This window comes from Homo sapiens, chromosome 3 (genome assembly GCF_000001405.40).
Source record: "Homo sapiens chromosome 3, GRCh38.p14 Primary Assembly".
Classification (NCBI taxonomy): domain Eukaryota; kingdom Metazoa; phylum Chordata; class Mammalia; order Primates; family Hominidae; genus Homo; species Homo sapiens.
This window is the reverse complement of record NC_000003.12, coordinates 165,064,362-165,090,820: the sequence shown is the minus strand read 5'-3', so window position 1 is coordinate 165,090,820 and position 26,459 is coordinate 165,064,362. Positions and strand designations below refer to the sequence as shown.

Below are 26,459 nucleotides of genomic sequence, written 5' to 3'. Positions count from 1 at the left end.
TAAGAAAATTAAAACTATGTTACATGAAATGAAAATTTCACATGGTCTTTGCAAATTAAATATATAATAAATATGCAAAATTTTATATAATTATGTATACATTATATAATCACATTATATATTTTATATAAGCTGTATAATCACATTGATAGTATATTCAATCAATATATAGTCAGCTATGTAAGTCTGTTTTAAATGCATGAATTTATTTATATAACTACATACATAAGTATATTAGTTACACATTACATATTTTAAATTATATAACTGATTATATATAACACATATGATTATTATAATTATTACATATATTCTGTATTATACAATAACATTACATTGAATATATATGTCACATATGTAGTTATGTATACTTACATGTACGTTTTTCTTTGTGGCCTCATTATAAGTGTACATCAATGGTTGAAAAGTTCCTTTCATTTAAAGTTTAAAATTTTTACATATAAAGCAATATATATGTATATTTTAGTAAACAACACAATTTTATTTCTCACAGTTCTAGAAGCTGGAATTTAGAGATCACGGTGGCAGCGCGGTCAGGCTCTGGTGAAGACTCTCTTCTGAGTTGCAGACTGCAGACTTCAGATTGTATGCTCACCTGGCAGAGACAATGCGGGGGGGTTCTCTCTCTCTCTCTCTCTCTTTTTTTTTTTAAATAAATGCAGTAATTCTAATTATAAAGCCTCCACCCTCAGTTCCTAATTAACTCCGATCTCCTAATACCATTACATTCAAGGTTAAAATTTCCACATGTACATTTTGGGGAGAAAAACATTGTCTATTGCAATTCCCAAGATTTCATTACAAAAAGAGCTGTCATTTTCCACCTTCTTGCTCTGTCCTATGTTTCTTGCCTCAATCTCTGTCTTTGTCTCTGTCTCTCTCTCTTGTTTCTCTCTGTGCCTCTCTGTCGTATTTTTCAAACTGAGGATGTGAGCTCCAATGTTATAAGGTGCCCTGTGTAGATGCTTACATGCCGGAGAACGGAGAGAGTGCCTAGGCCAACAGACAGGGAGGAACTCAAGCAGAGAGTAATTCAGTCCACACTGAATCCTGGTAGCTCGTCCAATCCAGGTTCATTTGAGACCACAGTCCCAGCCTCATCAGAGACCCTGAGGAAAGGCACCCAGCTAAGCGGTGCTGATTCTGGTCCACACAAATTGTGAAATATTAAGTAGTTGTTTAAAATGCTAAGCTTTGGGGTGATGTTGTCAAAGAAGAGCAGATCGCTAACCTCATCTCCCAGGGCCCAGGATCCTTCTTCTCTCTGCTCCTGCTCCCCACCCTCAGAATCTCTACAGCCACACTGGCCCCTTATTCACTTTTGGCAGATTCACTTCCAGTTGTGAGTGTCTGTACCAGGGGTGGCTTCTCTTTGACACTGTTTCCAGAATTGCATAGGGTTGGCTCTCTAAAGTCATTCTGGTCATAACATAAATGTCACCTCAGTGGGGCATTTGGGTCGTGTCTTCTTAACCCTCTCTCCCAACATCTTTATTTTTACTTATAAATCAATAGTTTAATCTCTCCTGTTTCTATTTAATATTTGCTCTTTCATTAGTTTTATATCTTTATCACTTCCGTCTGAATTCTAGAAGGACATCTCTGTTTTTCTTTTGTATCTTCTGATTTAAATTTGCCAATATGAAAACTAAAGACAGCCATAACAATGTTCTTCAAAGAAGACGAATATACCAATTTAATTAAAAAAAAAAGAAAAAAGAAAAAAGAAAAGGCCGTAAAAAGTTAAAACCAAGACAGCAAATTTGGGAGGTGAAAAAGTTCATTTGAATGTGGGTCAAAGGTCTCATTTCTAAGTTGATGATCAAAAATATTGTTTTTAGCTTGATAATGTTACCTAAAATTTAATTATCAAAGCAATATTGATTTTATAGTAAATAGCAATATAAACTGAATCCAAATCATAGTTAAAGTTTAGTTCTTAGTATCTATGTACAGGAATATTTGTCCATTTTCTTAATATGTTTTTCTAAATGATTTAGTCAGAAATTGGTAGACCATGTTAAAAGGTTTAAAAAAAAAACCTTTAAAATGTTTATATTCAGTTCGGGTTCTGAATTCTGAATTTTAATGCTACCAGCAATTTGACCCATGTTGTTTTATTTTTTAAGTGTATTTATTATTTATTTATTTATTTTTTGAGACAGAGTCTTCACTCTGTCGCCCAGGCTGGAGTGCAGTGGCACAATCTCGGCTCACTGCAACTTCTGCCTCCCAGGTTCAAGAGATTCTTCTGCCTCAGCCTCCTGAGTACCTGGGACTACAGGCACACACCACTGCCTAGCTAATTTTTGTGTTTTTAGTAGAGACGGGGTTTCACCATATTGGCCAGGCTGGTCTCGAACTCCTGACCTCATGATCCACCCACCTCGGCCTCCCAAAGTGCTGGGATTCCAGGTGTGAGCCACCACATCTGGCCTATTTATTTATTTTTTGAGAGAGAGTTTCTCTCTTGTTGCCCAGGCTGGAGTGCAGTGGTGTGTTCTGGGCTCACTGCAACCTTAGCCTCCTGAGTTCAATGGATTCTTCTGCCTCAGCTTCCAGAGTAGCTGGGATTACAGGCATGTGCCACCATGCCCAACTAATTTTTGTATTTTTAGTAGAGACAAGGTTTTGCCATGTTCTCCAGGGGGGTCTTGAACTCCTGACCTCAGGTGATCCACCTTCCTCAGCCTCCCAAAGTGCTGGGATTACAGGTGTGAACCACTGTTCCTGGACCTTTATTTTTTATTTTAATTTTACATACATATGAATTTTTTATTGTCTTAAGTAAAAATAATTTGCATGAAGAATTGTAATTCCTACATATATACATAAATAAGCACGGGTTAGCATTTCTCCTGTAGTATACCTTCTGGCATTAAAACTTCATAGAATGTACGTATCTCATTGCATCACCAAAAATTTGCCTCAATACATTTTAATCAGCTAATGTGCCATCACTAATATGTTTACTGAATAAGGTAAATAAAGGAGGATACTATACCATCCACGTTTTTATGGGCACACATTATTTAGCATAGTTGGATAATTAATATAAATCTGATAGCAAAATTAAACTGGGATATCTTTTGTAGGATAGTGGAGCCTGAGGTAAAAAGTATAAAACTTATGCCTGGAAATGGTTACATTTTTGCCTTTGCTAGGCCTTTGTTGTGGAATGTCGTGTCACTCTAGTTAGGAGCTAAACTGGGTTTGGATATTGCTGTTGCTATGAGTACCCTAATTGAACTATAAGCTTCAAATATCTATAGAATCTCCTTAAGATTGAAGCAGGGGTGGTTGTAAGGATGGTTGGCTTGCAGAGTGTGTTTTTCTGGATATCTGCTGACCCTTGGCTTTAGGTCATATATTTTCCTCTGTGCCTCAGAGAATATCTCTTTCCATTCTCTTGACCATTCCCTTAACAGTAGACTACTGTTCCCTGTTTCTCAATGCTTTTTACCTGGTTTGATAAGGGTGTCGTTCTCTGTTCTAGTTTGGCCTCCATTATAGCAGGTGCTGTGTACCTGGGTCTCAAGGGTGTGGTCTACTCAGTGATTCTGTCCCAACCCAGTGGCAAGGAGACCCTCCTGGTGGTCCAGGTCCAAAACATATTTCTACCCATTCTCCAAGACAGTTTTTTGTTTGTTTGTTTTGTTTTGTGTATTTGTTCGTTTGTTTCTATTTCATTGCCCTAGCTTCAGGTCTTCACCTGTGTCCTAAGGACACCAGATTTGTTACCTTTTCCCAGCATCCTAAGGCCTTTGCTCTGTAGGGGAGCACGTGGGATATTGTACTTTTCTTGCAGTAGCAGTCATATATTTCCACTGAAACTGTCTCATAAGGGAGGGATTCACAAAACTCTCCACCCAGTCTGCAGTTCTACGCATGAGAACTTGTGAGTGGGTGCAAATTCCCCTGTGCCTTTGGCTGACAGAGTTTCCACACTCTCATGATTGCCCACACTCAGCTTTAGCAATTCATTACAGGTTCCAGTGGCATACTCCTTACTCACTTGCATGGCATTAATGCCCATCTGCTTCAAGAACACAAGAGCTAATATCCTGTAACTCTTTGAGTTCTTCTGGATTTACTTAGATTTTGAGTTAATAGTTTTACTGTAACTCCAACTGCCAAATGGGTTCAAGGAAAGTTGTATTTTGAAGAGTATTCAAATGTTTTCTTATAAATGTGGTAGCCTTATGACCTTTCCAACTTTCTAAATTTTGTGCAGAAGGCAGAATCTAGACATTTTGAAGCATAAACTACTTTTTGAAAAATCCTGTTGCCAAATTAACCTAACAAAAAAGTAGAAAGTCCTAACAATTCTGTATTTGTGAAAGATGCTGACATATTATTCTCATTAAAGCATGTCTTGATGTGGTGTTTTCAGTTTTGTGCCAGCAACCTAGTTCCTATCCAAAGCACAGCATTAGATGTTTCTAGGATCTTTTGTTGGGTAAGAGTGAAACAACTCATTAGGTTCATGTATTATGGGTGACATGTAACATGGATTTTTTTCTCAATTAGGATTTCTTTTTTTTTGAGACGGAGTCTTGCTTTGTTGCTCCAGGCTGGAGTGCAGTGGCACAATCTCAGCTCACTGCAACCTCTGCTTCCTGGGTTCAAGCAATTCTCCTGCCTCAGCCTCCCAAGTAGCTGGGATTACAGGTGTGCACCACCATGCCCTGCTAATTTTTGTACTTTTAGTAGAGACATGGTTTCACTATGTTGACTAGGCTGGTCTCGAACTCCTGACCTCAAGTGATCCACCCACCTCGGCCTCCTAACATGCTGGGATTACAGGGGTGAATCACCACACCTGGCCAGGATTTCTTTTAATATAATTTGAGTACTACAATGTAAACCTAAAATGAACCCCAACTATTAGTCTGATGTCATATTGTAGCTATAGAACTTTGCGTATTCTGGGGAAAATAATTACAATGCTAGTATTGTAACATTTGTCTTGTATATTCTGAAAACATCAAAGAAGTTTTTAACAACATAAAATGTCTTCACAATGGCTGATTCTCTCATTTTAATTGAACACTTTTCCAATTTATTCATAAAAAGTTTAATAAATTGAGACTTTTGCATCCAGTAGAAGTGCACACATTGTTTATGAGGCAGTGATTGTAGAAAGGGAATATTATTCTTTCATTTATTCTCCCTAATACAGATATGGCATTATTTAACATACCGATAGGTTAGAATGGTCATAAAAATCTCACACTGTGGTAAATGTGAATATTAGAGCTGGACAGCGTTTCTTGATTATGTTGGTGGCCATTGGCTTAGAAAACATTTGAGTTAAATAAGCAATTGAACCCATATTTTGTGCCCAAAAACTTATGTTTCTAGAAATAATTGATTATGTGGATGAATACAAAAAGGAGTTTTGGAAGATGATTGCTGTAATCTTGATTGAAGAATTAGAAAGGTCCACGTCTTGGAGATGCTTACTCATAGAGACTGCTTCATTACTTTCAAAAAATTTATACTTGAATTGATTTCAAATGTACTTTTAGTAACTGCTAGTTAATTAACAAATATTATTCCAATTAGGTTTTATGTGTGAAGAAAAGATAAAGTAAATGTTTAATCCCTGTTTCATTGATAAGTTACTATCATTGTTAAAACCTTCATAGAATTAGAATTAAAAATTAGTTTGAGAGAGTCTGGTGAACACCCAGGTCTATGAAGTTTTACCAATTAACTTTAATAGTATAGCAATAACCTTAGAGAAATTTGAAGAAAAAACAAGTTTCTAAGCTGGTTTTAGGATTCTCAATTTATTTGCCAAAGAAATATGGCCACAAGTTTCTGTCAAATATTTAATTAAAAGTAGGTAAGCCTCACAGTGCTCTAAGGAGAGTGGATTAATTTCAGAGTTGCCTCACTTTATTTTTATTTATGTTTACTGTTATTTGTGAAACTTCTGTTTCAGGAATGTATAAGTTAATAACCGTTACAGAGAAATCATGTCCTGTTTAAATTTCTTATTGTCTCTAGTCTTTTTAGAATAGCTGTTTCCAATATGTGAACAAATATTTCACATTCCAAAAGTGATATTTTCTGTAATAAATTTCCTAGAATAAAATATGGAAGTAGGAGAAAGAAAATTATTAACAAGCTGAATATTTTAGGACTGGAATATTTCAGGAAGGAAATGTATTTTCAATTATATTTATAATATTTATAGTGATAATTATAAATATTCTCAGACATTCATTTTCATTAGTTGTTAATTTTTGTGTATTTCATAGCATGGATAATATTATACAGAAAAAAATTTTTACATATCAAATGACTGAAACTTACTAGGTAGCAATTTGTTTTGTCAATTTGCTTCAGTGAAGATTAAAGAATGTTTTTTAAATATAACTGGGAGGAAGTTCCCCAAGAACTTATGTTTGAAATCAACCAGCTCTTCTCCATCTATCTTAGTCTGTCTGGGTTTCTGTAACAAAATACCACAAACTTGGTGGTTTGTAAACAATAGAAATTTAATTCCCACAATCATGGGTGTTGAGAAATCCAAGATCAATATGCTGCCAGATTTGATGTCTGGTAAGGACCCATATCCTTGGTTTATAGATGGTGCATTCATGTTGTGACTTCACAAGGTGGAAGGGGCATAGGTTCTTTTTGGGGCCTTTTTTATAGAAAAGCACTATTTTCATTCACAAGAGCTCCATCTCAATGACCTAATTACCTCCCAAAAGCCCTAATTCCTAATAGCATCATCTTTAGGGTAGGAATTTCAGCATATGAATTTGGAGGGGATGTAAACCTTCAGACCATAGCACCATCCAAGTCCACAGTTCACATTTCAAAAATGCAGATTTGACAACACAAATAAGACTTTTGTCATCAAACAACAAAGCATGAGTGAAACTCCTTTTCATTTTACAATTATCTATAATGATATTATAATCCTTTTAAGGTTTTTGTTTTTTATTATTTCTTCTTAGTCTTACATGTTTATTCAGTGTATCTATGCAAATAGTTTCCTGATTCATAAAAATACTTGGCAAGTTACATAATGGAAGGCCAAAGAAGGTAATAGATAATGCACATAATCCAACTAAGAACTTCTAGATCCATAGTAGAGGTACTTAACATTTTATTATTATAATTCATAATTCAATGGCCAATATCTTGTCATATGTTATTAAATGAGTATGAAACAAGCTACTCTAATGAAAAGATTCAAATGTTCACTGGGTAAAGGAAGATAGATTATTTCTTTTTCATTTACTATTCAGAAGAAGGTGAACGATCTAGGGTAGACAGGTAGCTATGTTCCACAAAGTTGTCATGGAATCTTATGAGCCTTCTAACTTTTTACTCCACTATCTCCAAGGAAATACATAGTCAAAGCTGACCTACAGAAATACATATGTGTTTGGTTCATAGAATGAAGTAAAGGATGAATGAGAGAAAGCTGTTTCTTTTTTTAAAAAAAAATGTACTATGGAAGTCACAAGCATGAAATCAGGTTTCATCCCATTGACTAGAATTTAGCTACATACACAAAATTAGCAACATGAAGGGTTTAATAGCATAGTCTGGACAGCCACATACCCTATTAAATTTAGGTGGTTCTATCACTAAAAGAAAGAAAAGAGAGAAAATGAAAAATTAGCTGTTAATGGTTAGATTATAATAAACCATGTTTTTAACAAGGCCATATTGTAGCTGCAAAAATTGACTTTTGAGTATGTTGCTGTTTTATTACCAATGATATATCCCTAGCATGATTTTGTTCCTCCAGTGTCCTGAACAAAGATTATGATACCTGGCAACTATGTTACTGAATTGCTCTTACTTCTGGACATTATTCAATTCAAAGCTAGCCTTCCTTTCTCTAGCCTCTATAGCCACACAGCACAAGTCTAAATCCTATAATAAGCCTCTTCCAACTTCCTGTTACTAAGAGACCCTGCTCTTCCTTGTTTGACCACATTTGAGTTCTGTATAGACTTTGACTGGTGAGCTTTGATAAGGGAGAATTGATATGGATATACAAGTGGCAGTCACTGCTATATTCTACTGTATATAAAACATCCTGAAAAGCATTTTGAATTAAGCAAAGGCAAGGAAAGCATTGTCCTGGCTCTCTCTGCATTTCCAGTCTCACATGACCAATTGAAGCAATTATGGATAGCTTTAATATGAGACAAGCTAAGACAGCACTATACTACAAGCATGAAACACATTGTTATGAAGGGAAAAGTAGGGGAGATGAAATGGCAAATATGAAAGGTATAGGGTTTTAAAAATAAGGTTAAGAAATTTGGTTCTCCGCCTCCAGGCATTAAGTATCATTGGACTACTGCACTGGGCATATAATGAGTTGAATTATTTTGTGGTGAGAGGTGGGTGGTTTTACTTTAGAGAAAAGAGAAAAGTTGAATAACTGGAGTTTGGGAGACCAGTTAGGAAACAATTACAATAATGTAATTGTTATACCAGTAGCAGCAAATAAATAGAATTACGTATGAGACACTGAGGAAGAGCACTTGCAGAATTAAGTGTCAATATAGAACGCTTAACAAAAAGGAATTAAAAGTCTTGAGCTCACGTTGCTTGGGGAGATGTAAAGATATCAATTGAGATAGAGCTAGATAAAGAATTGTCTTGATGGAGCTGGTAAAGAGTTCTACTTTAGACTGTTGAAGATATCTGGAAATTTGGGTATGAAGCTTCTAAGAATCGTTACATCTAGAGATACATCTAAAAAGTCATCTGTGCTATTTATTAGCAAATGTGTGATGTTATTTATTTATCTATGCATCTGTGTGTAAGACTGGAATACTAGCACTTGTATATGCCTTATTTTCTGGAAGCTCTTCACGTAACTCTCCATCGGTCTTTCCAATGGTTCTGGTGTCTTGCCCCTGAATTTGTTTTCTCCTTCTTCTTCTAAAATCTTTTGTATCCAGTATTTTTTATGACCCAGGCAGGAACCTTGGCTTCCCTTTTTATATTTGTGTTCTATTGCACCTGCTTCTGTCTTCTAGGAGAAAGAACTCAAACAAATTCAACACCTCCCAGAGCCTTCTTCCATTCCTTCTTCTCTTGCCATGTGGCTGTTTTCTTTCTAGTTTTTTCACAGGCCTCTAAAAGAAGCAGAACATTTTTTATTATTTAATATTTTGAAATATCTCTGCATTATCGCTGTGAAAATTCGATTTTTGTCTTTTTGTTGCATCCTGGTGGCAAGTAACATATAAAACTAGTATATTAAATCATGTAACTTTTAACCTAAGGTGCATATTTGAGGTCCATGATTTAACTACTGTAGACGTCCATGATTTAACTACCATATGTTTGAAATTCTGACATGCACATTTCAGAGACAAAGTACATAATACTCCCTAAAGAGAGTAGTTGAACATTAATCTGTTCTAATTACACTAGGTGTCAATCACCAGTTATGATTCACTTTTGGTGTTCACAACTCATCCTGCCTGCTGACTATCCAACTCAATTTGGGGATCATTTTGCTTATGAAGTTTTAAAGTTTTTGGACAACTTTATATTAATAATTGAAATTTTAAGAATTTATATTTGTTTTTAAATAAAATGATATGTTTTAAGTTAAAACACCTTTTTAATTACTGTACATAACTTCCTTATGCTTATAATTGAATACATTTATTTTGTGATTTTTATCTGAATTTACCTTCTAAGCATTTTTTGAACACCTTATTCGATTGATTGAGGTTCATTGTTGGAACCAGAGCTAGGGTGGCAGAAGTAATTGCTTAAAACAAAGGCCAGTTTGTTGACATGACAGGGAGATAACGATACGAAATAGAAGGTACACAAATTCAAAATCACACAAAGTTTTTTTTTTCTGTCTGTTTCTTTAAGACTTTCTTTTTTTAAATTATACTTTAAGTTCTAGTACATGTGCACAATGTGCAGGTTTGTTACATATGGATACATGTGCCATGTTGAAGTGCTGCACCCATTAACTAGTCATTTACATTAGGTATATCTCCCAATGCTATCCCTCCCCCCTTCCTCCACCTCATGACAGGCCCCAGTGTGCGATGTTCCCCTTCCTGTGTCCAAGTGTTCTCATTGTTCAATTTCCACCTATGAGTGAGAACATGCAGTGTTTGGTTTTTTGTCCTTGCGATAGTTGGCTGAGAATGATGGTTTCCAGCTTCATCCATGTCCCTACAAAGGACATGAACTCATCCTTTTTTATGGCTGCATAGTATTCCATGGTGTATATGAGCCACATTTTCTTAATCCAGTCTATCATTGATGGACATTTGGGTTGGTTCCAAGTCTTTGCTATTGTGAATAGTGCCACAATAAACATACATGTGCATGTGTCTTTTTAGCAGCATGAAAATCACACAAAGTTTTTAACTGGAGAGAACAAAAGCTGTTACTTGAAATATTTCTATAAATAAAGGAACATGTAAAGGAGGACTAGTTAAAACTTGACAGAGGCTTATCGTTTCAATTCAAAGATGTGGAAAGCTGGAAAGAATCTTTGCTCTCACTTCTAAAGGAAGAAATAAAAAGACAACTTGTTAACTATTTCTCTTGAATCTATCAGAGAACTAAAATTAAAGGGAAAACAATTGATCTGAAATATAAGATTTATCAATGTTGTTGCATAAATCAGTAGTTTATAACTTTTCATTGCTGAGTAGTTTGCTATTGTATGGATATGCCAGAGTTTACAGACACTTTTGTTGTTTCCAGTTTGGGGAAATTATCAATAAAGCTGTTATACAAATTGGTATACAAAATTTACAATCAGCTTGTCTATATTTACTTCATGGAGTTTTGATTTAGATTATATTTTATGTGTAGATCTAATAGTGGCAAATTGGCAGCTTAATACTGAGTTTTGCAGTCTATGAATATGGCGTATCTCTCAATTTTTAAAATCTTTAACTTTTTCATCAACATTTTTTGGTGCTATTCTAATTGATAATCTAGCTATCTATCAACTTATATCTCTGTCTATATCTATATTGTAGTTTCAGTTTCCAATTCTTCCTTGCTATTAGGTAGGATCATGATTGACCTTTGTATGTTGACCTTATATCCTGTGACCTTGCTTTGCTTGCCTATTGGTTCTAGGAGCTTTGAGTTCATTTAGTGAGATTTTACACATATAAAATAATGTGGCATATGAATAGAGAGTAAATCACTCAAAAGTTTTATTATATTTTTCCTATTTAGATCATTCTGGACTGATTTTAAACTTATTGCTATATAACTGATTTTATATACTGAAATTTCTCCTTTATATAGCTACTGAGTCTTACAACAATCCATGCATACTTTTTTTAAATTTTCTTTTTAGACTCATATTTAGTTTGCTTCAAAAACTAATTGCTCTACTTTATGCAAACACATTATTTTAATATATATTTTGTTGAAAAGATAGTATCCAGATGGTATGCAAGGCTTAGACTCTGACAATTTCAGAGTCAAATTGGGGTCAATAATAATTAAGCAATATTAGCTCATATAATTCTTTTAGTGATTTTATAGGTAGTATTTTGCCCACAATTTCTCAGGTAAGCATAGTACAGCCAGCATTTATATCCAAATTTATTATATCAAATCCATTGCTTTTAAACATTATGCTAGCTTAAACCAGTAGTGTAATTAATTTTATACATTTTACTACATGAAATGAGAAGGTTTACAATATGATTTTTTATAATTCAATGAGTGCTATCTGTGGTAAATAAATAGATAAAAATGTTGATTTTATCTCTAAATTACTGATCTGGGCACCTCTATTTTATGTTTTATACTTAAGGATTTGGTCACTTTTTCAACCTTAAGATCAAAGACAAGATACAGGGAATAATTTTTATTTAATCATTACTTTTTATAAAATATTATCTTCTAATTGTTATATCCTGAAAATTTTTCACAGATTCTGTCTTTCAAATATGTTTCTACTCTCCAGTGAGGATCTAAATTGCACACAATGGACAAAATAGTTATTATAACAAAATCCAAATATAAAATAAATATAATTTTGAAAAGAGAAAAAATAGAAAGAACTACTTTTATGTTCTTAAGATATTAATAGTTCACAGCTTTGAGAAATCAAAGAGTATCTGACAGTACAATTACTAATTAACTTAGATTCCCAGAGAGAAACATTTATGTAAACTACTTTCAGGGTTAAGGCTTTTAACAATTGTATGTTGAGCAGAAGATTATTAAACACTGATAGGCTGGTAAGGGTGCAATAAAACTTTATGAGTAGGTCAATATATACCTAAGCAGCTTTCCTTGATCATTATTTTGGCAGCCTTATCCAAGTCTGGTACAACATAGCAAAGAGAACAGGCTATGAAATAAGGTAAGTCTATGGCTCATATGTTTTTTGTTATTTTTATGTTTTCAACTAATTATATTTTTTCTTAATTTGTGTTAGCAGTATTCCCATCTATCTGCACTAGGCTAAAATAGCAATATCATATATTTTAAGTTGCCATTTGAAATATGTAGTACCTTGTATTAAACAGGAAAAAATATTTCTAATTTTTTTTTAAATACAGGATTTTTTTTGGCCCAACTCTTCATTATAACTTTTGTAAGACTTAGGTGGAATCATAGCAAGTTTTGTTTAATGACTCTATATGAAAGAAAATGAGTACTGATTAAGATTTTGAAAAATAGATGAATAATAAAGTATGCTTAAATATATTTTAAGAAAATCTATATAAAATAGAATGCTACATTTATAAAACATTACTGTTTTCTAGCTGACCTTTTAAAGATCATTCATCAAGTTGTTATACAATAAAGTATTATTCATCTTCATAATAAATATGCAGAGAAAGGGTATCAATATATATTTTCCAAGAAGAGTTGCTTAAAATTACTGTAATCCAAAATTACAGGGATCATATTTTTTTATCACAGTAATTTTAAGCAATTGTTTTAAATTTTGTTTTGATTTTTCTAGACAAAGGAGAGTTTGTTTCATGACAAAAATGCATTTTTTAAGACTTCCCTTATCAAAAAGGAAAGCACAATTCTCATTATTGACTTCTTGGTAGCAAAGTAGGTTATCACTTCAAATGAGATTTACACTTATTTAAAGTTGTACACTAAATGTAACTTTGTCATTTCTCAACATAACATCACGCAACTGGGCTTCATTTTTCGAACAGCTTTGTATGTTACCTGTTGCTCTGTTTACTTTACATTCATTTTCTTTGAAAATTACTGATGCAATAAACAGCTTACATATCTGGAACAGAAAATTGTATACTAAGAATAAATGCTAATCTGCAGATATTCATTTATAAGCTATACTAAAAAATTAAGTTTTTGCTTACTTAATATTATTCTCTGACTACTTTTATAATTTTTGCTAACAAGAATGTAACGATCTAATTGAGGAAATTAACATATACATAAATAATTGCAATGGACATTTAATATGCTATGGTAAATGAAGAAAGGCTAGATTAACTGTGCCTCAGAGTGGTAAGGAACTCACCATGGCATTTGAATTCAGCAAAATTTAGAATTCACCTAGAAGAGTGGATGGGGAGGGATTGAAATTGAACAGCAGGTATGAAGGCAATATGTTATCTAAAAATTATGCTGTGGTGCTGGGGATAAAATGAAGGCATAATTCTAAAAATACTTTGAAGATAAAGTCAGATGGACTTATTGAATGATTGAATGTTGTAAAACATATGGAAGAAGGAAAAAAAGGTGTTTAGGTTGGGACAACTGGGTACATGAGTTGACATAGTTACAGAACAGGGACCATTGTGAGACCAAAAAAAAAAAAAAAAACAAACCGTGATTTTAAACCCAATAATTTATTAAAGCACTTACTGTAGTAATTCTAAGTTCTACTTTGGTATATGTCTTTGAATTAAGATTTATACTAAAATCATAGAATACAGATAATCCATGGAAACTTGAGAACTAAGAAAAATAAGATATATGTGGTCAAAATTAAATTAAACAAATATGCTTTCAGATAATTATTGGAGATGTGTTCTTTCCTGTCTACATTTGGGTATCTTCCATATGCTACCTCAAAAGTATAATGTCTTTTAATAATAAATATGTATTTTTGATATAAGAGTTTTGTATATCTCATTTGCTGCTGTTTGATGAAGGAACTTGGTGAAAATTCAAAAGATTTTTAAACAGAGTAGCAACTCCCAAATATATACTATTCTATCAAATATATGTATTTATGTTCTTTTCGACAATATTGTGGAAAGTAGTGTTGGAATTAGAGAGAGGAGAGTTCAAGAAAAAAACTGAAGTTTTTAACTTTGAACTATAACTTATTCTTTGTTAAGCTTAAAGTTCCTGATCAGTAAAATGTGAATAACTATTTCCTTCATAGAATTGTTGTGAGAATTGAGAAACAGTGCAAGTGGAAGCCTTTGCCTTGCAAAATGCTCTAAATGAGAAGGCAAGACACACCTACTTGAAGATCTTTTTTTCCATCTGTATTTTCATCTTAGTGTACTACTACTACTGTAATGTGCATCAGTAATTCATTCCTTTTACTTTAAATTGCATGTGTTGCTTACATTTTATATCAGTATAAGTTTCAGGTTATTAAGTACATGCTTAATATATTATTAAGTAAGTGCTTAATTTAGGATATTATGTAAGTGCTGTCTTCAACTCTGCATTATACATAGTAAAAAAAAGAATATGTAATTTCATGAGAATTGTTGGTGGTTTATTATAGTTATATATTTTACATTTTAAATATATATTCTTTTCTGTTTTTAGATGGCAAGAAAGAAATTTAGTGGATTGGAAATCTCTCTGATTGTCCTTTTTGTCATAGTTACTATAATAGCTATTGCCTTAATTGTTGTTTTAGCAACTAAGACACCTGCTGTTGATGGTAAGTAGTACATTAAAAGCATGGCTACATTATCGTGAAGTTAGGAGGAAGTTACTCCACAATAGTTATAGGTTTTAAAAAATAATCTGTGTAAGATGAAACACTTATAGAAAAATCCAGGGTAAGTTACACAATTACTTCCACTTTTTCTATTCATTATATTCCATATTTCAATGATGAGCTATTGTAAGTAAGGAATCCATGTGCTTTGACATGAATTGCCTTCCCTAGCTACTTGACAAAGAGCAAAGAGGCAAAGGGATCAAATCGTTAATGTAAGGTGGAATAATCGCCTACTGGTGTGAGCATCATCTCATTAGTGGGAAAACCTGGGTTTTTGCTCCAGCCTTCACACACTTGCAAAGGAAATAAGGATTTTAGCAAATATTCTTTGTTCTGGTTAGATTTTATTTTAAGGAGAGAGAGAGGTTGTATGAGAAAGGCAGGTAGAGGAAAGTTGAAAAAAGACTTGGATAGTTTAATTATCTGTTTCTGAATATTTTAATTCTAATTTAGAGTTGGTACATACGGAATGCTGAATCTCTTTCTTCATTATTCTCTCTTGAGCAAATCAGTATTGTAAAGGATGTTACACATTATCTTCTAGACTACAGTTAGCATTTCCTATTCCTGTTAATCTTTTGTTTTACCTACTTCCAGAAACTGAGAGCTTACTGTATTATGAAGCAATATATTTTAATGATATCTCATTGCTGGAATGTTATTTATATGGCGTTGGTATCTACCATTCTTCGCTATTCCAGCTTTCTCTACTTTACCTATCAAATTATTCCCTTGCAAGGGATAATTTGAATAACTTTCACCTACTTTCCTCTTCTCTAATTTCTTCTCACCTTCTCTATATGTTTTTCATAACTCATATTGCTCCATCTTTTCTTCAGCTATAAAATACAAGTTGTAAATACAGTATGAATGTATATTTTGTTACCTTCTGAATCTACACCAAGTCCTTTTGTAAATATATTTTGTATTTCTTCAGAAACAGTCAATAGGATTCTACACTGTCAATTTTAAAAGTATGATTGGATCTTTTCCTTTTGATGACTAGTGCTTGAAATTGTGGGTCTTTTTAAATGCAAAATTTATTTTAAAATTTTCATTTTATATGAATTCATGTATTCTTTCAAAAAGTACTTATTACTTGATAATTCTGAGAAAATTAATTTAATGTCATGTTTTATTTTATTGAGTTTTTTCCTCCCCCAGAAATTAGTGATTCTACTTCAACTCCAGCTACTACTCGTGTGACTACAAATCCTTCTGATTCAGGAAAATGTCCAAATGTGTTAAATGATCCTGTCAATGTGAGAATAAACTGCATTCCAGAACAATTCCCAACAGAGGTCTGCAGCAAAAGTCTTTAATATTTTTAATGAATATATACATTATTATATTAAGATAATTGCTGAATATTGGATCGATCTTATTTAATAAAGATCTAGACATAAATTAGGCTGAATTTATCATTTTATTATAGCTTCCTATTAAAAATGATAGATAATAGAAGTTACTGACCTTGCTTTCCTTTATCTCTGCTCAATTTAAATTAACAAGTTAATATTCATCCATATTTAACAAGTTATAGTTAATTTTACAAATCTTCATGAAATTCTGTCATCTCAAATCTACTTCTTTAAGAAAGTATACCTTTGATAATATAGAACATTTAGGAGGGAGTATATATGTTCCAGTAGAGTATTTGTAATGATAGCATTAAGAAGTATCTGTGGAAAACAAAATACTCATTTTATGAAAATTATTAATTGTTTTTAATTTAGCAATTAGAAGTGAAGAAGAGAAAATGGAGAAAATTAGGTGTAACCAATTGGATTCATGTAACCCAAGTTCACTCTTCCTTTTTTTCCCCACAAACCTGTGTGGGAATAAAAGTCATTGTGTGTGGGTGTATATGTACAGTCCTTCATGGGTATCCTCGGGGAATTGGTTTCAGGACTTCTGAGGATACCAAAATCTGCAGATGTTCAAATCTCTCAAATAAAATGGCAGTATTTGCATATAACCTATGCACATTCTCCTGTATACTTTAAATCATCTGTAGAGTATTTATAACTCTAATACCATGTAAATGCTATACAAATAATTGTTATAATGTATTGTTTTTTATTTACATTATTTTTATTACCATGTTGATATTTTTTGTTCCTTGAAATATTTTTGATCCACAGTTTGTTGTATCCACAGATGCAGAGGGCTGACTCTATATATTGACATTTTGCAAATATTTGCATTTGCAAATATGATATGCAATTACAAATGTCACCTTCTCCACTCCACCTTACCACACACAAATTAACTGAATAAACTATAAAATTTATTTTGTCCCTATTCTGTCTTCCCTACATCATAGTAAGCATGCAATTTTCTAATTAATTTGAAAAAAAATTGAAAGAGATGAGATTTTCCTTTGAGTAACATTACAAGTAATAGGTCCTATAGCTTACCTGCTGATAGAAGAGCTAAATAACATAGTATTTACTGAGATACACTGAGGAAAGTGGCCAGATATTCTCTTTACTTAACCTTCTTAGGCAGAGCTTGCAGTGGGCAGAGATCGCGTCACTGTATTCCAGCCTGGGTGACAGAGCGAGACTCCGTCTCGAAAGAGAGAGAGAGAGGGAAAGAGACAGAGAGAGAGAGAGAGAGAGAGAGAGAGAGAGAGAGAGAGAGAGAGAGAGAGAGAGAAATGATTGAAGCTAAACATAGAATTCTATTAGGAACAATATGGGTTTTGAAGGTCTTATAGGGAAACAATATTTGAAAGTCAGTGGTTTACATTTTTCTTGCCTAATATTAGTCTTTAGTGTCAACCTAAACTGTTAGATTGCTGAAGAATGTTTTCAGTGTGAAATAAACTATATTTGTGAAGTAAGCAAGTTAAACTTCAGCCAATATATTTATGCTTGTTATTTATAAAAATACAACTTACAGTTTTAAAAGTTTAACTTAGTATATCTCAAAAGAATTTGAGTGTTTTCTTGACATTTTTAACTAGGAAAAGTGCAACTTAAAATGATTTTAAAGAGATTATCATTTAAATGGTATCTTATTCACAAAGTTTTGGATTTATATGGAAGCTTAGACTGTTTTTCAAGGCTAAATTAATATTCCAGTGTCACTTTGCTAGTTTACAGGCAAAACTGGAATTAGAACAGTGGTATGCAAATTTCAATGTGAGCTCATGTTTCACGAACTCAGTAGTCACTGTTCTTTAACTAGCATGTCATAATTTTCTAAGTAGATGAATTTTCAAGGTAGCATTTTTCTATTATAGGAAATGGATTTAAAAAATAAATCATAAAGGAATGAAAAATGAAATCTACCTGAAATTAGAAAACGGGCCTAAATATTTGCCTTTTTTTGCTTTAGGAGATGTTGCAATTTTCAAATATGATTTTTATTCAAACTTTGTCACTCAGGGTTTTTTGTTGTTGTTGTTGTTATTTATAGCTATGTATCTTTAATAATACTTTTCATTAAATACCCTAAAGATTCTTTAAAATACTTCAAATGTTAATTTTCCACCATCTTAACGGATCAACTAAAGCAATTATTTATCATCTTAAATATATACACTTACTCTTTTAAATATTTGAGAGGCATTCCATCTGACTAAATATTATTTGTTCCAAATGCAGTGGTAGAGATTGAAGTTGGTTAAAGTAATGATTTTCTAAAAATTTCCTTAATTTAAAAAAAAAGATTTATCTTAGGTTTTCATATACATGAGGATAGATCATGATTGTTAAAATTGGAAAATTGGTTATATTAAACTTACTGTATAAATTATTGTATACTAGAAATGGCATGTTTATTGTATATTAGAAAGGACATGTTTGCTTATTGCACAATGATGACAAAATATAGAATAATCAAATGGTTACCTAGGTAACAGGCATAATTCCATGCAAAGTGCATTAGCTCGGGCTGCCATAACAAAATTCCGCAGAATGGGCAGCTTAAACAATATCAATTATTTTCTCACAGTCTTGGAAGCTAGATGTCCAAGATCAAGGTGTCATCAAGGTTGGTTTCTAGTGAGGCCTCTCTTTCTCGCTTGTAGACAGCTTCCTTCTCATTTTGTCCTCACATAGTATTTCCTCTTCGTGCACAGAGAGAAAGAGATCTTCGCTGTCTTTTCCTCTTCTTATAAGGACACCAGTCCTAATGAATTAGGGCCCCACCCTTATATCCTTATTTAAACTTAATTAACCCCTTAAAGGACCTATCTCCAAATACCTTCACATTGGGGGTTAGAGCTTCAACATATGAATTTCGGGGGCATAATACAGTGAATATACATATCTACATATTGAATACACATTATATATTATTACATATGAAATTATTACATTTAATATATAATCACTTATAATGTATATACATATATATGATAAAATATGTTAAAATATGATAAATTTATTATACCTTTATTTGCTAGAGTTTAACTGTGTCAGATGAAGGCAAAAGGAAAATAATTAGATGAGAAATTAAAAATAATGAGGAAAATGCCTAAAACCCTGAAAAATAGGAAGACCAACTAAACATAAATAACAAGTATCAAAATCTTCGCAAGATAAATTAAAATTACTAATATTTTGAAAGCAACAACAGGGAGATACATTTTTAATTAATATGTTGGAGTGTATATGTAGTAGGTTAAATAATGTTTTCCAAAAATTCGTGTCTACTTGGAATCGCAGAATATGAGCTTATCTGGGAATATAGTTTTCCAGAAGCAATTAGTTAAGATGTAGTCGTAGTAAATTAATTTGGGCCTTGCGTCGAATGACTAACGTCCTTATAAGAGGAAGGAACCACACACAGAGACAGACAGGGAAGAAAGCCCTGTGAAATGGAAGCAAAAATTGGAAAAAGGCGCCTATAAGCCAAGGAATGCCAAGGATTGCCAGGAGCCACTAGAAGCTAGAGAGAGACAAGGGAGAATTATTTTGTGAAGCCTTTGGAGGCAGCATGGCTCTGCTGACACCTTGAGTTAGGACTTACAACCTCCAGTACGGTGAGAGAGTAAATTTCTGTTGCTTTAAGTCACCTTTTCCATGGTTGTTATGAAAGACATAGGAAACTAATATGGCATATTTTCAGGAAATTAACGTAAGCCTATTTTACTATATATTTTTAATTATGTAAATTGTGATTATAGTGTGCTTATTTCTTTCCTCTTATTTTTTAAACTTAGCACCTTTGTGTGTTTATAGATGTATTTATATAAATGTATTTAGAGTTTTATATACAAATCTTTCATAGAGACTGCTGTAAGTAATTTTTTTTGTAGAATTGTCTCTTTGTATTGCTAGGTATTTCTACAGGTTAGATAACTGGAGATAAAATTGCCTGATCAAAAGTTGCACACACTTTAGACTCTAATAAGTTATTAGATCCAATTGTACCCCAGTTTGCAATGTATATGTGTATATGTGTGTTTGGGTATAAATATATAAATACATACTCAAACACACACACACACACATATATATATATATATATATGGTGTTTAGAGAGATTTTATATATATAATATATGTATATATACATATATAATTATATATGTATATAATCATATATGTATATTTATTATACATAAAAATAAAACTATGTGTATTTTTATTCTATATAAACATATTTTATATATAATATATACTTTATATATAAATAAATATATCAAAATATATTTTATATATAATAAATATACATATATCCCATATACTTATCTATTTAAATATTATATAAAATATATAAATATATAGTACATATACTATATATATTATATACGTGTGTGTGTGTGTCTGTATCTGATACCATTTTAATTTGAGGATAAAATAGGAGAAAGGTTAGTGCACACTTTCAGCTGATTAAAATGGAGGCTTTTAAAAACTTATTTTCATGGAAAGTAAGCAAAGGGGAAAATCCTACAATTTTTCAAATTATGAAAGTGTGTCACACTATTAAATTTACATAGATTTATAATTATACTGCTATTCATGCATAGCATCACTATTTTGCTAAACTATTTATAAATAAACATTTATAATTTTTCTTTCACTTCAGATAGTATTTCCATATGGTTAATAAAATTACTGAGAATTCAGTATTTTGCTTTATTAATTGAATGCTATTGCAGCAACTACTTGTGATACCTGGCACATAAACTAGTTAAGATAGTTTAAATAATTAAATATGAACTAGTAAGTAGGTAGAATTAAATCCCTTACACATTTTAAGTGGGTTTAAATTCAAGGCCATATTTTCATCCTCCTAGTTTAAATTTCAGCTTGATACATAATTAGTACAAAATAAATATTTCAGTTCTTCCATGTCAATACCATGGCAACAGAATAAATTATAATTACTTAGAGATCAGGTTCCTTTAAAATACATAAGCTTACAAAAATTTGTATAGATACGTGATTTTAATAATCACATCTCAGGTTATAAATTTCTGACAGGGTGTAATTAATTCAATTTATTAAATACTTGTATTTCTTCCAGGTAGAAGAAACAAAAGAGCAAATGCTATTTTGGCATATTATACATTTGAAAAAGTTAGATTATTTTAAAATATTCATTCCTTGGAAAAACAGAGACTGGGACATCTGATAATAGTAGTAATTATATAATTCCTTTAAAAATATTTTATCAGGGAATTTGTGCACAGAGAGGCTGCTGCTGGAGGCCGTGGAATGACTCTCTTATTCCTTGGTGCTTCTTCGTTGATAATCATGGTTATAACGTTCAAGACATGACAACAACAAGTATTGGTAAGAAGTCCTCTGTTATAATGATTCAATATGATATATTCTAACTGGAGCGAAAATGTGGAAAATACCTTAAATAGAATCAAATAAGAAATATGTTCCTGAGAATGTTCAAATTCCTTATTTTTGCATGATTGTAACAAATTTAAAAAGTACTCATTTGTGGTAAATACAATAACATAAATATATTTAATAATTGTTAACATTATAAATCAAGTCACTCATGGCAGCTTTTTTTTATTCTTTAAGGAGTTGAAGCCAAATTAAACAGGATACCTTCACCTACACTATTTGGAAATGACATCAACAGTGTTCTCTTCACAACTCAAAATCAGACACCCAATCGTTTCCGGTTCAAGGTTCGGTTTTTAAGGTTTCCAAAGATTTAATACTAAAAGACATTTGATGGGCTGGGCGCGGTGGCTCACGCCTGTAATACCAGCACTTTGGGAAGCTGACGTGGGCGGATCACAAGGTCAGGAGATGGAGACCATCCTGGCTAACAGGGTGAAACCCCGTCTCTATTAAAAATACGAAAAATTAGCCAGGCGTGGTGGCGGGCGCCTGTAATCCCAGCTACTCGGGAGGCTGAGGCAGGAGAATGGCGAGAACCCGGGAGTTGGGGCTTTCAGTGAGACATTTGATGAACACACCTTTCATCCTACAAATACATTTTCTCTCTTGAGAAATATTTATTCCAAGGCAAAGAATTAATTAAACTGCACTTCTCTCAAATTGTTTATGCAAATATAACATACGAATAATAATAGTGTGCTCTGCACTTATTTTTGGAGGCTTTAAATAATATCGTTCATGTAAAATATTTAGCTTAATGCCTTGAAGAAAATAAACATTCTCAAGAAACATTTGAAAATTTTTATTATTTAAACTACAGGCTATGCAGAAGATTAATCTAAAATTTAATTTCAGAAAAGTGTTAGTGTCGTATACATGCAACATAATACTTTCACTGATTATAAATTTTATTCATGATTTTAAAAACTATGATTCTTTTTTTTAGCACGTAGTTTACTAGTATAAATATTTTGGATTTGGAAGTAAAAACAGCACCAAATTCTTTGTATATCACCTTTTTAGCAATAATTTCACTGGAACTAAATTTTTCTTTTTCTCAGTGATTCTGCTTTATTTCAGTGCTTCTTTTTAGTTTCTATAATTTTTTTAAACAAAATTTCTTATCTTTATGGGTAAGATTCTTATCTTTATATAGTTATATAAGGACCCAAACACTGAAAAGCATTGAGATTGATTAAATTCACAAAGGTCTAATATTCTGTAATCAATATTTGGTAATACTGTCATTTTTATATCAGTCAATAAAAATCTGTACTTAATTTTATACATAATACTTCATAACCAACTAATTCTATGTATTTCTTTAAAATTTATACACTTTTTCTGTGCATAGCCATTCAAAAATATTAAAATTAAGGTTCTGAATTAATACTCTTCTATGAAACTAATCACCACGTTATTTTTTATTTGGAACTTGCATTTAATAATTCAGAACTGGAATATTAAATAATAGTTTAGAATCCAGTAATGCTACCTTGCTTAAATCTTTCCAGATTACTGATCCAAATAATAGAAGATATGAAGTTCCTCATCAGTATGTAAAAGAGTTTACTGGACCCACAGTTTCTGATACGTTGTATGATGTGAAGGTTGCCCAAAACCCATTTAGCATCCAAGTTATTAGGAAAAGCAACGGTAAAACTTTGTAAGTGTATTATTTTACAATTATATAAGTTTATTCTATTATTATAGAATTGGAAAGTCTTAATTTCAAGACATTTTCAGTAGAAATAAATTTCCTCCCAAAAGAGGGTAGGTGGATAGGTTTATAAAAATTACGGTGATAAAGGAGTTTGGTTTCTTGTGGATGAAAGATACTGGAACATAAATTAGAATCTACAAATAAAGGTTGAACAAAGATGAAGGTGGAGAGCTTCACTAATGCAACCCTAGCCTTGCATATATTTGTACATACCTAGAATAGCTCTTGTGTCTTTCCCCCTTATATTTATCGTATTTTGTTGCCAATTTGTAGAATCAGACAGTTACTATTCAAAGACCAAAGAGGAGTTATTTCCCATATTAATATTAAAATAATTTATATATATGTAGAATCCAATATAGAATGAACACCTTCATTATGATTGTATGAGGGGTGTAGGTGCAAGAGATTTGGTAATTTCCTAGGAATGGTTTCAAGATAAATGCTCTTGTATCCCTAAGAATTGTTAATAAAGCAATTGTCAAGATTAAATCTCAGCAATTACTCTTATTAAATGTATCTTAGTACTTTTGTTTATGACTTTGTGTTAAATCATAAAAATATTAAATGCCATGTGAAATAAGCCAGGCACAAAAAGGCAAATACTGTATGATCTCCCTTATATGTTGAATCTAAAACATGTTGAGTTCATAGAAGCAGAAAGTAGGATTATGGTTTCCAGAGGCTGGGAGTGGAGGAGAATGGGGGAGATGTTGGTCAAAGGATTAGACAGAAACAACATGTTTTTGAGACCAATCAACATGATGACTATAGTTAATAATAAAATAATAATTTAATATATATTGCAAAAGTACTAAGAGACTACTATAAATTCTAAATGTGCGGTAAAAAGTATGTGGTGTGGTGGATATGTTAATTAGTTTTATCATCAAATAATGTACATCAAAACATCATATTGTATCCCATTAATACAGACCTCCCTCAGTATCCATGGGAGACTGCTTTCAGGATAATCCCCACTCCCCCACTGAGTATACCAAAATCCATGGATGCTCAAGTTCCTTATATAAAATTGTATAATATTTGCATATAAACTATGCACATCTTCTTGTATACTTAAATCATTTCTAGATTACTTATAATAATGAATACAATGTAAATTATATGTAAAGAGTTTTTATACTATATTGTTTAGTGAAGAATGACAAGAAAAATAAGTCTGTATATGTTCAGTATAGATGCACCATTCTTTTCTTTCCCCTTAAATAGTTTCCATCCCTGGTTGGTTGAATCCATGAATTCAGAACTCACAGATATGGAGGGCTGACTGTATATGCAATGACTAATTGTCAATAAAAATAAAAGCATACAAATCATAAACATCATTTAGCATTTCTGGTAGTACATATTTCATCTGCATAACACATAAAACTTTTTGGGGGAAAAATGCTTTCAAACTTAATTTTTAAGTGTGGAAGCCAGTAAAATACTGTATTTTAAAATCTAGTACCTAGAGCAAGCAGAATTGGGTTTGAAACTTGGCTCTCCTGCCTACCAGTTTGTGATCCCTAAAAACATCAATTAATTATCCCAGTTTGTGTCATCTTTGAAATGTGATTGATAATGGTAGTTATGCTTTGAACTTGTGATGAAAAGTAAAGAAATGGATGTGAAAGATATTGGCAAAAATTGTGTTGATGCAGTGAACAAATTTCTTTTATGGGGTAATTTGTGTGTTTCTAAGAAGTGACCAAAGCTAACCACTGGCATGTTTATAATGAAATCTTCTGGATGATGTTAACATAAACCTGTATCTGGTAGAATATCATATATATATATATATATATATATATATATTAGATTATTTCTTTATTTCTTTTATGGTGCAGGTTTGACACCAGCATTGGTCCCTTAGTGTACTCTGACCAGTACTTACAGATCTCAACCCGTCTTCCAAGTGATTATATTTATGGTATTGGAGAACAAGTTCATAAGAGATTTCGTCATGATTTATCCTGGAAAACATGGCCAATTTTTACTCGAGACCAACTTCCTGGTGATGTAAGAAATTATTTTTCTTGTTATAAATAAAATCACTATATTGCAGCAGATGAAAATCTTAGCATATTTGAAAACAGCATTTATTTTAACTGATCAACTAAACTATTTGAATGTCACTGATACCAATATAGAAGCTTGTTTAGCTTGGGAGGGACAATTGATAGGTTCTAAATTGACTCAGTGACCAACAGATTTTGTAAAGGTTTTCACAGGATTTCCAGTTTAAAAATGTTTTATTTTGACTTTCATGATCGTATTTTATTATTCCTTTTTCACTCACCTTGTACTTATATCCATCAATAGCTAGCTATTGCACTAGAATAATTCCAAACACTGTTTTACATGTCTTCATATAATACAATGTCTGCCTAGCTACCAGATATTATCTCACGCATCTCTGTCCTTCTTACTGTTCTATAATATATAGTCATTTTCCGTAACTTCAAATCTTTGCACAGTTTGTTTTTTTGGTAACTACTGAAACTTAATGTTCTTTATCACTCATATATCATTCAGCACTCAATGAAAATTTTATCTCATAAGAACTTCTCCCAAACTCTCCCATAAGGGCTTAGTCTTTATCTTTATACTTGACTTAGTATAATAATCCTATTAGTGTATTATTCCTGTATATGTTTGTTTTTATGTTTGTTGCTCAAAAAATGTGAGATTTTTGAGACCAAACATCATAACTTTAAAAAAATATGTTTGATTCATGATGGATTTGGGTCAAACGTTTGTCAGTTACTTCTTTTTAAATGGCAATGCTAACTATTTCTATATCAAAGATAAACCAGTGAGTAGTTGTTTTAAAGAGTTTCATTTGGTACAGAATTATTAATAAATTTTACTAATCTCTGTTTGCAGCATCACTATCTATAATCGACACCAGAGTGAGA

The 26,459-nt window shown here is 32.1% G+C and overlaps 1 protein-coding gene and 1 long non-coding RNA gene across 7 annotated transcripts in view; one reads left to right on the top strand and one right to left on the bottom strand.

Annotated features, from left to right (window-relative positions):
* Positions 1 to 588: 588 nt before the first annotated feature.
* The window catches only part of SI (sucrase-isomaltase), a 111,335-nt gene continuing 85,464 nt past the window's right edge, over positions 589 to 26,459 (top strand). Inside the window, exons 1-8 of one of the 4 annotated variants that reach the window (XM_047448735.1) lie at positions 589 to 606; positions 12,338 to 12,388; positions 14,809 to 14,926; positions 16,154 to 16,290; positions 21,626 to 21,743; positions 21,990 to 22,099; positions 23,330 to 23,481; positions 25,389 to 25,560. In XM_047448735.1, coding sequence (XP_047304691.1) covers positions 14,809 to 14,926; positions 16,154 to 16,290; positions 21,626 to 21,743; positions 21,990 to 22,099; positions 23,330 to 23,481; positions 25,389 to 25,560 — 807 coding nt within the window. In that variant the 5' untranslated portion in view covers positions 589 to 606; positions 12,338 to 12,388. The other 3 variants (XM_047448736.1, NM_001041.4, XM_011513078.3) reach the window with 3 other exon arrangements.
* Positions 8,784 to 18,794, bottom strand: LOC105374192 (uncharacterized). 3 transcript variants are annotated; one of them, XR_924668.2, is made up of 5 exons: positions 18,744 to 18,794; positions 18,546 to 18,649; positions 17,410 to 17,563; positions 13,219 to 13,285; positions 8,784 to 9,149 (listed from the first exon to the last, which is right to left on the bottom strand). It is a non-coding gene; the product is annotated as an uncharacterized LOC105374192 (long non-coding RNA). The 3 variants fall into 3 exon arrangements; XR_007096286.1 differs by lacking the exon at positions 8,784 to 9,149 and adding an exon at positions 10,335 to 10,555; XR_007096285.1 differs by lacking the exon at positions 17,410 to 17,563.